The sequence below is a fragment of the Homo sapiens genome, chromosome 12 (genome assembly GCF_000001405.40).
Source record: "Homo sapiens chromosome 12, GRCh38.p14 Primary Assembly".
NCBI classification, from domain to species: domain Eukaryota; kingdom Metazoa; phylum Chordata; class Mammalia; order Primates; family Hominidae; genus Homo; species Homo sapiens.
Genome location: NC_000012.12, coordinates 96,473,483 through 96,487,415, shown reverse-complemented (window position 1 = coordinate 96,487,415; position 13,933 = coordinate 96,473,483). Strand labels below are relative to the sequence as shown.

General features: G+C 43.5%; 3 annotated features.

Annotated features, from left to right (window-relative positions):
• Nucleotides 1,875-2,014: an enhancer, noted in NCBI's record as "active region_6832". NCBI's record gives its function as "activates an Ori minimal core promoter by ATAC-STARR-seq in GM12878 lymphoblastoid cells {active_cell/tissue: GM12878}" and the evidence as "EXISTENCE:reporter gene assay evidence [ECO:0000049][PMID:35858748]".
• Nucleotides 2,025-2,074: an enhancer, noted in NCBI's record as "active region_6831". NCBI's record gives its function as "activates an Ori minimal core promoter by ATAC-STARR-seq in GM12878 lymphoblastoid cells {active_cell/tissue: GM12878}" and the evidence as "EXISTENCE:reporter gene assay evidence [ECO:0000049][PMID:35858748]".
• Nucleotides 2,843-3,040: a silencer, noted in NCBI's record as "fragment chr12:96878154-96878351 (GRCh37/hg19 assembly coordinates)". NCBI's record gives its function as "represses an EF-1alpha promoter that drives an FKBP-Casp9 reporter gene in an ReSE screen in K562 erythroleukemia cells {active_cell/tissue: K562}" and the evidence as "EXISTENCE:reporter gene assay evidence [ECO:0000049][PMID:32094911]".

Below are 13,933 nucleotides of genomic sequence, written 5' to 3'. Positions count from 1 at the left end.
GCATCTTAGTCACTTTCCCCCTTGCACACACTAAAGCTAACAATGCTTAACTTGCAGTAGTTTTTGGAAGCTTGTCTGAATATTTAAATGGGTGTTATATTCTGAATCATCATTATGATAAGATGGAAGTTTACATTTTATTTAGTTTAAATTAAATTGGCTGGGTGTCGTGGCTCACGCCTGTAATCCCAGCACTTCAGGAGGCTCAGGTGGGCGAATCACTTGACGTCAGGAGTTCGAGACCAGCCTAGCCAACATGTTGAAATCCCGTCTCTACTGAAAACACAAATATTAGCTGGGCGTGGTGTCGGACACCTGTAATCCCAGCTACTCAGGAGACTGAAGCAGGAGAATCGCCTGAACCCGGGAGGTGGAGGTTGCAGTGAGCCGAGATCATGCCACTTCACTCCAGCCTTAGCGACAGAGCTAGACCCCATCTCAAAATAAATAAATAAATAAATAAATAAATAAATAAATAAATAATAAAAATAAAATAAATAAATTGAATTTGAGGCATTTTTAACATTTTAGAGGTGTTATCTTCCTTGTAATTAGATGCAGCCATTATAATATCTTTCTCTTTCCTTGTCACTTTGCTTTATTCTTCTCACTGTAATGAAAGAATGGAGCTGTGCAACTACTGTGTCTGACAAGCCTAAGTACTGTAAATAGCTTCCTTATAAATAATGTAAATTGCTATTTCTTATAATTAACATCTTCGCAGGCTGCAGGGAAGCTTTTTGCCCATTCGAAAGTCTTTTTTATCTAAAGCTACTGACTGTTAAAGAATATGCAAGGTTAGTGCTCTTTCAATTCTCAATTTAGTTGTTAATCATTTGGACTATCCCAAATAGATACAATATATATGATCTACCTAATATGTAGACTTTTTAAAACTTCTTCATCCATTTATTCAGATAAATGCAACCATTTTGTTAGTGTCCATACAAGGCATAGATGAACCCATACATTCCCTACAGGAAGCAGATAACACAAACTCAAATAATCATAATTAAAAGGCATGCTATGGATTAGCTGGACATGGTGGCATGTGCCTGTAATCCCTGCTACTTAGGAGGCTGAGGCAGGAGAATCACTTGATCCCAGGAGGCGAGGTTGCAGTGAGCCGAGATCGCGCCACTGCACCCCAGGCTGGGTGACAAAGTGAGACTCCATCTCAAAGAAAAAAAAAAAAAAGGAAAAGAAAAAGAAAGAAAGAGAGAAAAGAAAGAAAGAAAGAAAGAAAGAAAGAAAGAAAGAAAGAAAGAAAGAAAGAAAAGAAAAGAGAAAAGAAAGGAAAGGAAAGGAAAAGAAAAGAAAAGAAAAAAGAAAAGAAAAGGCATGCTGTGGAATGTGCTGTGAGAAAGGTTTTAAGAAATGTGGGACCGCCAGGTGTGGTCACTCACGCCTGTGATCTCAATACTTTGGGAGGCCGAGGTGGGTGGATTGCTTGAGGCCAGGAGTTTGAGACCAGCCTGGGCAACACAGTGAGACCCTGTCTCTGATTTTTAAAAAAAATTTTTTTAATTAGCCTGGCATGGTCACATGCACCTGAAATCCCAGCTACTCAAGAGGCTGAGGCAGAAAGATCACTTGAGCCAGGAGTTTGAGGCTGCAGTGAGCTATAATCACCCCACTGTATTCCAGTCTGAGCTACAGAGCAAGATCTTTTCTCAAAAAAAAGAGAGAGGAGGGGAGGGGCAGGGGAGGGGAGGGCAAGGGGGAAGGAAGACTGTGGGAGTTCTAAGATGAATCTCGGAACTGGAAAGAGAACAGAGAATTCTAGAGGAGATGATGTTTTAGCCCCAGACCGTAAATGCCTCTCACTCACAGAAAGACCCTTGCAACAAGCATTTACCTTCTTCCCATGGTAACCTAGCACCCAAATCTGGCACCTGGCACAGAGTACAGCTCAATACATCTTTGTTGGAATGAGCAAATGAAGAAAAAGAAAAAAAAAGATGAAGAGCATTTAGAAGGATATGCCTGACTGAGAGAAAAGCCTGAGTAAGGTACAAAGCCATAAACACATACAGCAAGTCTAAATAAACAAGCTGTCTAGTGTGGTGAGCCACAGGCTGCCATAGATCCGGAGGCAGAAGATGAGGCAGAAAGGGAAGTGTGATCAAATACAATGGGGAGTTGGAAGGTATGCTGAGTAATTCTGACTTGGTTTTGACTTGGTTCTGTATTCAGGAGAGAGGTTTTGTGGTTTTGTTTTGTTTTTGAGACAGATTTTCACTCTTATCGCCCAGGCTGGAGTGCAATGGCACAATCTCAACTCACTGCAACCTCTGCCTCCCGGGTTCAAGCGATTCTCCTGCCTCAGCCTCCCGAGTAGCTGGGATTACAGGCGCCCGCCACCACGCCCAGCTAATTTTTGTGTTTTTTAGTAGAGATGGGGTTTCACCATGTTGGCCAGGCTGGTCTCGAACTCCTGACCGCAGGTGATCCACCTGCCTCAGCCTCCCAAAATGCTGGGATTACAGCCGTGAGCCACTGCACCCGGCCAAGAGAGGCTTTGTTTAAAAAAAAAAAAAAAAAAAAAAAAACAGTACATTAAAGATGTTAAAAGCCCACGCAGTGGCTCACACCTGTAATCCCAGTGAAACGGAAAAGTTCCCTTGTCCCCCTTGCAGGGCGTGCGATGGGGGTGTGGATCGCTTCTTGAGTGCCCCGCTGCTCAAACCTCTAGGGGAGTATACAGACAGGCAGGCTGTGGGGTTCTGACCCCAAGGCAGTGTCTAGGGGTAAATGTTTACAGCTGAAGCCCCAGTGGGCATGTGTTACAGGGTGCTCTTTTAGTTTAGTCATCCATAGGCAGCTTGCTAGCTCAGTTAGACCCCTGCCTTATCGCAAGGACAGAGGGCTTTCTGAATCCCGGGGTTCTTGCCTTGGTGTACGGGAAGAACCGGATCACACGTGGGCCTGGAGAATGAGTGCAAGGTTTTATTGAATGGAAGTAGCTCTCAGCAGATGGGGGAGCCAGAAGGGAGATGGCTTTCCCCTGGAGTGGGGCTGCTTAGCGGCCTGGGCTCTCCTCCGACTGCCCCAGCCAAACTCTGCCTCGTTCTGCCAGTGGATGGCCGTGCGGCGTGCCAACGTCTATCGGTGTGCTCTTCCGCTGGCGTGCTCTCTTTGACGTCCTCTCGACATCTAGCCTCTTGTGTCTTTTTCAACCGATGTGTTCCTCTCCATGTCCAGCCACCTGTAGGTCTGCCTGCTAGGGTCTTCGGGGTTTTTATAGGCACAGGATAGAGGCGTGGCAGGCCAGGGTTGTCTTGGCAAATGCAACATTTGGGCATGAAGGCAGAAGTGCCTGTCCTCACCTAGGTCCATGGGCACAGGCCGGGGATGGAGCCTTCACCAGGGACCATGCCCTTCCTTTCCCAGCACTTCCCTTCCAACCTTCCCTATCACCAGCACTTTGGGAGGCGGAGGCAGGCAGATCACTTGAGGCCAGAAATTCGAGAACAGCCTGACCAACATGGTGAAACCTAGTCTCTACTAAAAACACAAAATTAGCTGGGCGTGGTGGCAGGTGCCTGTAAGCCCAGCTGCTCAGGAGGCTGAGGCAGGAGAATCGCTTGAACTCAGGAGGCAGACTTTGCAGTGAGCCAAGATGGCACCATTGCACTCCAGCCTGGGCAACAGAGCAAAACTCTGTGTCATAAATAAATAAACGCCCAAATTCTGAGGCCAAAGAGCATGGTTTGAATCCTCACTTCTTCCAAGTTACTTAACCTCATTGTGCCCCATTTTCTTAATCCGTAAACCAGGTGCTGGGTTCTCAGGACATATGCAATGAATCCAGTATAACATCCCTACTTCCTTGAGCCTTCCGACCTTTTCTTCAATATGATATCAAGGAAGTTCTGTCATCTCCACTTCATTTGATGTGGAACATTATCAGATCAATGCTTCAAGAAGTCATCTCATTAAGTTATTAGGAATTCTGAATCATGGGTGAGTATTCCCATATTAATGAATTCTACCCTCGTCACTTTTGCATTCTGTGCCCCGGTCTAACATATTCAAGACTCACTCCTACACATGTTCTCTGCAGTTTCAGCTACTACTTATTAGCCAGATCCCACAATTCCTTTGCCATGTAAGCAATTTCTTCTTAGAGCAGAGCTTGTAATTTCCTGCTCAGGCTGTGCTGAAACCTGACTTTCCTTTCCAGCCAGAAGGCAATGAAGTGTATTGGGGGCACATCTTGAGGAAAACAAGTCTCACCATGAAAGGCACCTGCTTCAGATTAGGTCATTATATGTTCCCCCAGGCAAGCAGAGATTGTTTTTCTCTGGCAAATGGTTAGGGGCTATTTTTGCAAGTATAGGGGGCTCAGAGAAATTTAGAGGTTCAAAGTTCTTGGGCTTGTCTACCTAAATGTTTCCACTTCAGGTCTCTCGGCCTCCACCTTTTCTTGGACTTTCTGCTGTATAATCAGATCCTGGACCCGGTCTTTAGCAAAATCTACCCTGCAGCTGTCCTAAGCTGCAGTAGAGGCACTGTCTTTCAGAGCATGCCTTCAGTTGTGAATTAACTGCTCTAAGACAATCAGGTCCCTGTTGCCTTCAGATAGGTGACAATTCAACTCTAAAATCTAATCCTGAGTGTCCAATTTTTTTTCTTTTTTTTTTTTTTCTTTTTAGATGGAGTTTTGCTCTTGTTGCCCAGGCTGGAGTGCAATGGTGCTATTTCGGCTCACCACAACCTCTGCCTCCCCAGTTCAAGGGATTCTCCTGCCTCAGCCTCCCAAGTAGCTGGGATTACAGGCATGCACCACCACGGGGTTTCTCCATGTTGGTCAGGCTGGTCTCGAACTCCCTACCTCAGGTGATCTACCCGCCTCGGCCTCCCAAACTGCTGGGATTACAGGCGTGAGCTACCATGCCCAGCCGAGTGTCCACTTTTTACACCTCACTTTATTGTGTTAACCTGAGTTTCCTAAAAAACAAGAGTTTGAGGCAAAGGCTTAAGTGCTAGTGCTTCACTTAGTAGTGTAATTTCCGTGAAGCAAGAATGAAGAGAAAAGAAAGTGGGACAGGGACAGATGAAAAGAAGTACAATGCCGGCCTTCTTCACATCATGAAGAAACACAACGAGTTGCTCAGTCATGCGGGATGTGTCCCAACAGGCTATCTACATCTCTATATACTACATCTTAGAGGAGTTTGTAAGAGGAAAAGGTAGAGAGAAAATATACCTGCTGCCCTTCTCCTGGTCAAGATTCACCACTCTACTTCCAGGTTGGATCACCTTGCCCCTTCAGCAGCTACTGACGATGCCAAATCTCATACCTTGTGATATAGTGTTTCATCCCAGTTCAAAAGCAGTGAAAGGGCCAGGCACGGTGGCTCACACCTACAATCCCAACACTTTGGGAGGCCAAGGCGGGAAGATCACCCGAGACCAGGAGTTCAAAACCAGCCTGGCCAACATGTGAAACCCCATCTCTGCTAAAAATATAACAATTAGCCAGGAGTGGTGGCAGGTGCCTGTAATTCCAGCTACTCGGGAGGCTGAAGCAGGAGAATCACTTGAACCCAGGAGGTGGAGGTTGCAGTGAGCTGAGATCATGCCACTGCACTCCAGCCTGGGTGACAGAGCAAGACTCCATCTCAACAACAACAAAAACAACAACAACAACAACAAAAGCAGTGAAAGGAACTGGGCACAGTGGCACATGGCTATAGTCCCAGCTACTTAGGAGGCCAAGGTGGGAGGATCATTTGAACCCAAGAGTTCAAGTACAACCTTGGCAACATAGTGAGACCCCATCTCAATATTTTTTTTAAAGTGGTGAAAGGAGCCAAAAACGCCACATAGTGGCCTCAGGTGGTGGAACCAAGCAGGCCAGGATGGGGTTTCTCCAACCTGGAGGCAGTCATCAGAGCAGTTGCTGGAAAGCAGTAAGTGGTAGAGGGCCTAGAAAGTCAGTGAAGACAGAAAACCCAAGGCTTTGCATAAGGTGTGTCTAGTATACAAGTCCTCTTGGATGATAATGCCAGCAACACCCTAAGGAAAAGAGAGCAGCAAGATGGAAGGAGCCTGGATTCCTTCACACTGTGAAGCCCTGGTATGAGTCCTAGACCACTCACCCAACTTACTATGTGAGAGGAAAATAAACTTTCAGCGGACAGGCGCGGTGGCTCACGCCTGTAATCCCAACACTTTGGGAGGCTGAGGAGGGCGGATCATGAGGTCAGGAGATTGAGACCGTCTTGGCCAACATGGTAAAACCCCGTCTCTACTAAAATACAAAAAATTAGCCGGGCGTAGTCATGCGTGCCTGTAATCCCAGCTACTTAGGAGGCTGAGGCAGGAGAATCGCTTGAACCCGGGAGGCAGAGGTTGTAGTGAGCTGAGATGGCACCACTGCACTCCAGCTTGACGACAGAGCAAGACTCCATCTCGAAAAATAAAATAAAATAAACAAACATAAGTAAATAAATAAATAAACTTTCACCTTGTTTCAGGTACTGGGATTGGAGGTTTTCGTAGGAGGTGCCAACCCTTTACTACAACTATTGTACCCTATCACCTAGAAGTTTTATTTCTTGGGCCAGGTGCAGTGGTTCACACCTGTAATCTCAGCACTTTGGGAGGTGAAGGCGGGTGGATCACCTGAGGTCAGGAGTTCGACACCAGCCTGGCCAACATGGTGAAACTCCGTCTCTACTAAAAATACAAAATTAGCCAGGCGTGGCAGCGGGCACCTGTAATCCCATCTACTTGGGAGGCTGAGACAGGAGAATCACTTGAACCAGGGAGGTGGAGGTTGGAATGAGCCGACATCACACCACTGCACTCCAATCGGGGCAACAAGAGCAAAACTCCATCCCAAAAAAAAAAAAAAGAAATTTTATTTCTTGATTTCTTGAAATCAGCTTTAGAAATCATACATATGCATAAAGATGCATATACAGATATATACAGAACATACAGCAGATGTTTATTGCTAACCTTAAATGCTTACAATAGTAAAGCATTAAAAACAATCACTGGGTGCGGTGGCTCACACCTGTAATCCCAGCACTTTGGGAGGCCAAGGCAGGCAGATCACCTGAGGTCAGGAGTTCGAGACCAGCCTGACCAACATGGAGAAACCCCATCTCTACTAAAAATACAAAATTAGCTGGGTGTGGTGGTGCATGCCCGTAATCCCAGCCATTCGGGAGGCTGAGGCAGGAGAATTGTTTGAACCCAGGAGGCGGAGGTTGCAATGAGCCGAGATCGCGCCATTGTACTCCAGCCTGGGCAACAAGAGTGAAACTCTGTCTCAAAAACAAAAACAAAAAAACACAATATAAATGTACATCAATAGAGTAATGCATAGATAAACTATAGTTTAGCTATAGTATTGAATACTACTCAGCACCCAAAGGGAATGTAGTGGGTTTTAATGTCTTAACATAAACATATTTTTAAGACTTTTTTAAATCAAAAAATTGCAATATAATGTAAACAGTACGCCAACATTTATCTATATGTACCACAAAAATGATACTATAATATTTGTGTTTATATGTATGTTTGTATGTATTATGAGAGAGGGAAGAAAAGAGAGAGAGATCAAAAATGAGAGTGAAAATAAATGTGTTGAGAAGTTCTGAAAGAAAACCCAATACATTGTTAACAGTGGTTACATTTTGGAATGAACTGGAATTGAAAATATAGGATCAAATGAGATTTTAAACTTGTCTGTATTGTTTTCCCTTTTTTTAACTTTTATTTTAAGTTCAAGGGTACATGTACAGGATGTGCAGGTTTGTTACATAGGTAAACATGTGTCATGCGGGTTTAAGAAAGACCTTCCTGTATTACTTGTGTAATTAAAAGTTAATTTTAAAATATAAAAGTCAATGTAGGGCCAGGTGTGGTGGCTCATGCCTGTAATCCCAGCACTTTGGGAGGCCGAGGCGGGCAGATCACTTGAGGTCAGGAGTTCAAGACCAGTCTGGCCAACATGGTGAGACCCCATCTCTACCAAAAAAAAAATAATAATAATAATACAAAAAAAAAAGTCAATGTAAAAGTAAAACTATTAACAGTTTGTTATCCCAGGAAGATGGGATTACAAGGAATCTTTGCTCCATGTTCTTTTCTGTACCTCAAAATTTTTCTACAATGAAAATATACTACCTTTGTTGTAAAATAAAATACTTTTTTATGGCAGGGGGTGGGGGACAGAATGTCACTATGTTGCCCAGGCTGGAGTGCAATGGCACAATCTCAACTCACTGCAACCTCCGCCTCCCAGGTTCAAGCAATTCTCATGCCTCAGCCTCCTGAATAGCTGGGACTACAGGTGTGTGCCACAACACCCAGATAATTTTTGTATTTTTAGTAGAGACAGGGTTTCACCATGTTGGTCAGGCTGGTCTTGAACTCCTGACCTCATTATCCACCCACCCCGGAATCCCAAAGAGGTGGGATTACAGGCATGAGCCATTGCGCCTGGCTAAAATACTTTTTTACCTAAAGTGTAAAAATATAGACACATGACAACAGTACTATAAACTAAAAATAAGACTTCTATAGACTTTATTAGACAAAATTTCCACTAACTGCATTATTCTGGTGAAAGCATTTAGGAGCACATTCTTGGACTATATACTATTTGTTTCATTTATTGAATCTCAAAAAAAAAAGCAGAAAATATTTTGACTCATTTACGCAGTTTTAAGACCAAACTCCAAGACTTAGGGTCTACATGAACCCCCAAAATAGGCATATTGCTTTAAATGTACATCCTACCTCTCACTTGGATCGTCTTTCCTAGCTTTCTTCTTTAAACATGAATTTAAAGAAGAGGCAGGGTATGGTGGCTTGCACCTGTAATCTCAGGACTTTGGGAGGCCAAGGCAGGATTGTTTGAGGCTAGCAGTTCAAGACCAGCCTTGGCAACATAATGAGACTCTATCTCTACAAAAAATACAAAAATTAGCCAGGTGTGGTGGCGTGCATCTGTAGCCCTAGCTACTTGGGAGTCTGAGGTGGGAGGATTGGTTGAGCCCAGGACTTGGAGGTTGCTGTGAGCTGTGATCACGCCACTGCATTCCTGCCTGGGCAACAGAGTGAGAGCTTGTCTCTAAAAAAAAAATAATAAAAAACAAAGAGTACAACTCTGTGCTTACAACAAGGCAGGAAGTAAAGGGGGGATATGCAAATAGAGATTGCAATCCACAATGCTAACTTCCCTAAGGAAAAGCTTAAGCAGAGTGTAAATTGGAAGAGCACTGAGAGGAGAATGTTCTTGGGATCTTATCTGTCATATAACATGCTGATCAAAGAAAAACTGAACGTTTTATCTGACTCTCTGAGTTGGTGAGAAAACCCCAGTCTAATGATTTCCAAACCTTTTTACTATAATGAGCGGTAAGAAATACAAAGAGTATAATGATTTTACTTTTAATTTGGTTCTTGCCAGAAGGCTGATTGTTAATTGCCGTTGATTTTGTCTGTTACCAAATTGGGATGAGAAACAGTTGTATCTTTCAATTCTGCAAAGTCCCAGAGTTTTTGGACTGTTTCATTCTTCTTTGTTTGAAAATCAGATACTATAATTATTTTCTGAGCCCCTCTCTTTTTTTTATTACCTTGGCAAATATAACCACTAGCAACCAACACATTTTTTATTCCCCAACCCTTCACCTAAAAATCCAAGTTTTTTGTTTGTTTGTTTGTTTGTTTGTTTTTGTTTTTTGAGACGGAATCTTGCTCTGTTGCCCAGGCTGCAGTGCAGTGGCACGATCTTGGCTCACTGCAACCTCCACTTCCCAGGTTCAAGGGATTCTCCTGTCTCAGCCTCCCAAGTAGCTGGGATTCCAGGCATGTGCTACTGTGCCCAGCTAATTTTTTGTATTTTTAGTAGAGACAGGGTTTCACCATGTTGCCCAAGATGATCTTGAACTTCTGATCTCAGATGGTCTTGCCCGCCTCAGCCTCCCAAAGTGCTGAGCCAGGTGTGAGCCACCATGCCCCCAAATTTATTATGTTAATACTTAATAATAATAATAAATAATAAATACTTAATAAACACTACCAAAGTATTGCAGGTAACAGTTTTAGTAAATGTTTCATCACTGAATAGCATGAGTTGCCATCTTTCTAGGCTCCCATGAACAGTTTCCTTGCTGCTCACTATCTGGCTCTGTCAGGGAAACAGGAGCATGAGAGAGCCAGGGTGACACCATTTTCAAATCAACTCCATCTTAAAACTTACAAGGCACGGCCGGGCGCGGCGGCTCACGCCTGTAATCCCAGCACTTTGGGAGGCCGAGGCGGGCGGATCACGAGGTCAGGAGATCGAGACCATCCTGGTTAACACGGTGAAACCCCGTCTCTACTAAAAATACAAAAAATTAGCCGGCCGCGGTGGCGGGCGCCTGTAGTCCCAGCTACTCAGGAGGCTGAGGCAGGAGAATGGCGTGAACCCGGGAGGCGGAGTTTGCAATGAGCCCAGATCGCACCACTGCACTCTGGCCTGGGCGAAAGAGCAAGACTCCGTCTCAAAAAAAAAAAAAAAAAAAACTTACAAGGCACATTCCTTGCCAGTCACGACCCATGGCCATAAGATGTCTAAGGCTAAGGAAGCAGTTTAGTAACACCTGCAAGGACAAACTTCTATGAACACACAATGTCCAGATGTCCCGATACCCATAACAACATATGCTTTCAAGATAACTAGAGTTATGCTTTGATGTACTTACACACTAGAATGTCAAAGATAGTTTTCTTTAAATGAATAGAATAATAAATTTTGTCATGCTGTCAGCCCACCCAACATAGACACAGCTTAGTTTGGTCTTTACATAGTCAAGACCCCTGTATAAGTATAATAAAACTTAAAGACAAGGCATTCCTCCGCTTGCTTTCTGAGGGTGCCATACTCTGTATCTGAGTAACTTTCAATAAACTATCTCTTCTCATTACACTCTGCGACTCACCTTGAATTCCTTCCTGTGTTACATCCAAGAACTCTCTCTTGGAGTCTGGATCAATAGCCCATTTTCCGGCAACATCTCTGTAGCCAGTGCCATACATTGTAAGTTTTTCATTACCCCAACATCCCAATTCCAGTACAAAACACTATGAAACACTACAACAGTCTCCTTAGGCTAAATTATGCTACAGTAACAAACAATCCCATATCCCCATGGCTTGCAAAAACAAAGTTTTATCCCTTGCTCACATTCCTGAATAATGTGGGTCCCAGGCTGAAGGACCAAGCCATATCTGGGACATTGCCAGTCTCAGGGCAGAGGGGAGAAAATGATAGAGGAACAATTCAGGGCATCTTAAAGCTTTGTCTCCAAAGTGGCACCCAGCACTTGCACTCACATTTCATTTTCTAAATCAACTCAAATGTTCAAGGCTGCTCTCAGTGGGGCTGAGCAGTATAATCCCCCACAGGGAGAAGCACCTACTATTTTGAACAATAATACCATCTACCAGAGTATCTTAAATTTAACATCATTCAAAGTAACAAATATCTTTTTCCCAACTTACTCCTCTCTCCTTCTTTCTCGGTCTCTCAGCAAGTAACAGATGCCATTAGTGGAGGCTCCAGAATTTTCATACTAGAAGAGGGTTAAAAGCAATTAATGTCTTGCTAGAAGAGGGCTGTGGCAATTAGGTTAGAAGGAAGAGCTAGGAAACTAGTTTTGAAGCTGCATCTTGTTTTTTTGTTTGTTTGTTTTTAAGACAAAGTCTTGCACTGTTGCCCAGGCTGGAGTGCAGTGGCGCGATCTCCACTCATTGCAACCTCCGCCTCCCAGGTTCAAGCGATTCTCCTGCCTCACCCTCCTGAGTAGCTGGGATTACAGGCACCTGCCACCACTCCCCACTAATTTTTTGTATTTTTTTTAGTAGAGATGGGGTTTCACTATGTTGGCCAGGCTGGTCTTGAACTCCTGACCTCGTGATCCGCCCGCCTTGGCCTTATAAGCAAACACATTGTTTTCATTTAGATCGTATGATCATTTAAGTTGGCTTGATAGAGCTGATGGAAATTATGAAGTGGCCAATGTTCCCTCAACTCACCCCCTTGGCCCTTCACTGGATACCACCATTCAGTTACCCAAGCAAGAACAATGGTATCTTTGAATCCTCTTATTCCATTTCCAGTCCCAGTCTCTAGACCCGTACTTGTCCAATTCAACAGTCACTAGCTACCTGTGACTAATGAGCACTTGAAATGTGGCTTACCCACATTTAGATGTGCTATAAGTGTAAAATACACAACCGATTTTAAAGACTTTGTATAAAAACGACATGTATATCTTCATAAAATTTTATATTGATGACATATATATATATATATATATATATATATATATATATATATATTTTTTTTTTTTTTTTTTTTTTTGAGATGGAGTTTCGCTCTTGTTGCCCAGGCTGGAGTACAATGGCATGATCTCGGCTCACTGCAACCTCTGCCTCCCGGGTTCAAGCGATTCTCCTGACTCAGCCTCCCAATTAGCTGGGATTACAGGCATGTGCCACCACGCCCAGCTAAATTTTTTTGTATTTTTAATAGAGAGGGGTGTTTCTCCATGTTGGTCAGGTTGGTCTTGAACTCCCAACCTTCAGGTGATCCACCTGCCTCGGCCTCCCAAAGTGCTAAGATTACAGGCATGAGCCACTGCGCCTGGCCATATTGATGATATTTTTAAATGACAATATTTTGAGCATATTTGATTAAATAAATAAATTATTAAAATGAAGACTACTTCTTTTTACCTTTTTTAGGTGGCTACTAGACAATTTTAAATTACACACATGGCTCTCATTTTCGGCTTGCATTGTATTTCTATTGAACATTGCTACTCTAGGCTGTCTTTTCCTCTTCATCTCCACTGTCCCAGCCTTAACTTAGGCCTTCATCCTCTTTCAAAAGGTTTTTGGGAGGGTTTTGTGTTTTTGGTTTTGTTTTGGTTGGTTTTGGTTTTGATTTTGAGACAGGGTCTTGTTCTGCACCCGCGGCATAGTGCAGTGGCATGATCACAGATCACTGAAGCCTCAATCTCCCGGGTTAAAGCAATTCTCTCACCTCAGCCTTCCCAGTAGCTGGGACCACTGGCACGTGCCACCATGTCTGGCCTTCAGTGAGGTTTCTGCAAAAACCTCCTAATCACTTTTTCTGCCTCCAGTCTGGCCTCTCTCCAACCCATTCTTCAAAGTGGCCAGAATGATCTTTTTAAAATGCAAATCAAATCACGCAAACTCAACCAGTTTGACATCCTTTCATAGGTCTCCATTGCCTTTAATTTTGTATCTCCATACAGAAAGCCCTCCCTAATGATCTAGACACTGGTTTTCAACCTAGGGTCCTTCTAGCCCTGGAATACACCAAGACTTTCCAAATGTATGGGCATGTCTGATTTCAGGAGAGTCCATTTCCAGATCCTTGACTTTTGTATTCTCTGCATATTTATTTACCTTCGAAGGCACTTGCACTCAAAGTTCTCTTCTCTCCTTCCCTTCCACCATTGCTCTAATCTCCTAACAAAACAAAGGCATCTGGAATCTTACTATGAGTCATTGATGGAACAATTAAACAATTTATTTAAGCAAGGCACATTACAGCCTCCTTACACGTTGTAAGATGTATTGACAATATAATATTTATAATATGCTATACACTTATTTTAAAATATGCAATAAAATACAGAATTTGGGGAATATTTTTATGGGGCAAAGTAAACAAAAAGTTTGAAGACAACTATGTAGTTCATCTGTGATGACACCTCACCCACGCTACCCATACCACCACTAGCACCACCACCCCACAACGCTCACACCTTCCTATGTTCAGCTTGATTCTGGGGGCTCAGCCTATCAGCCAATCTCAGCCTGGTAGCCTCAGAACATTCTCCCTCACTCTTTCCCCAGTTCATTATCACTTCTTGTTTCTGCT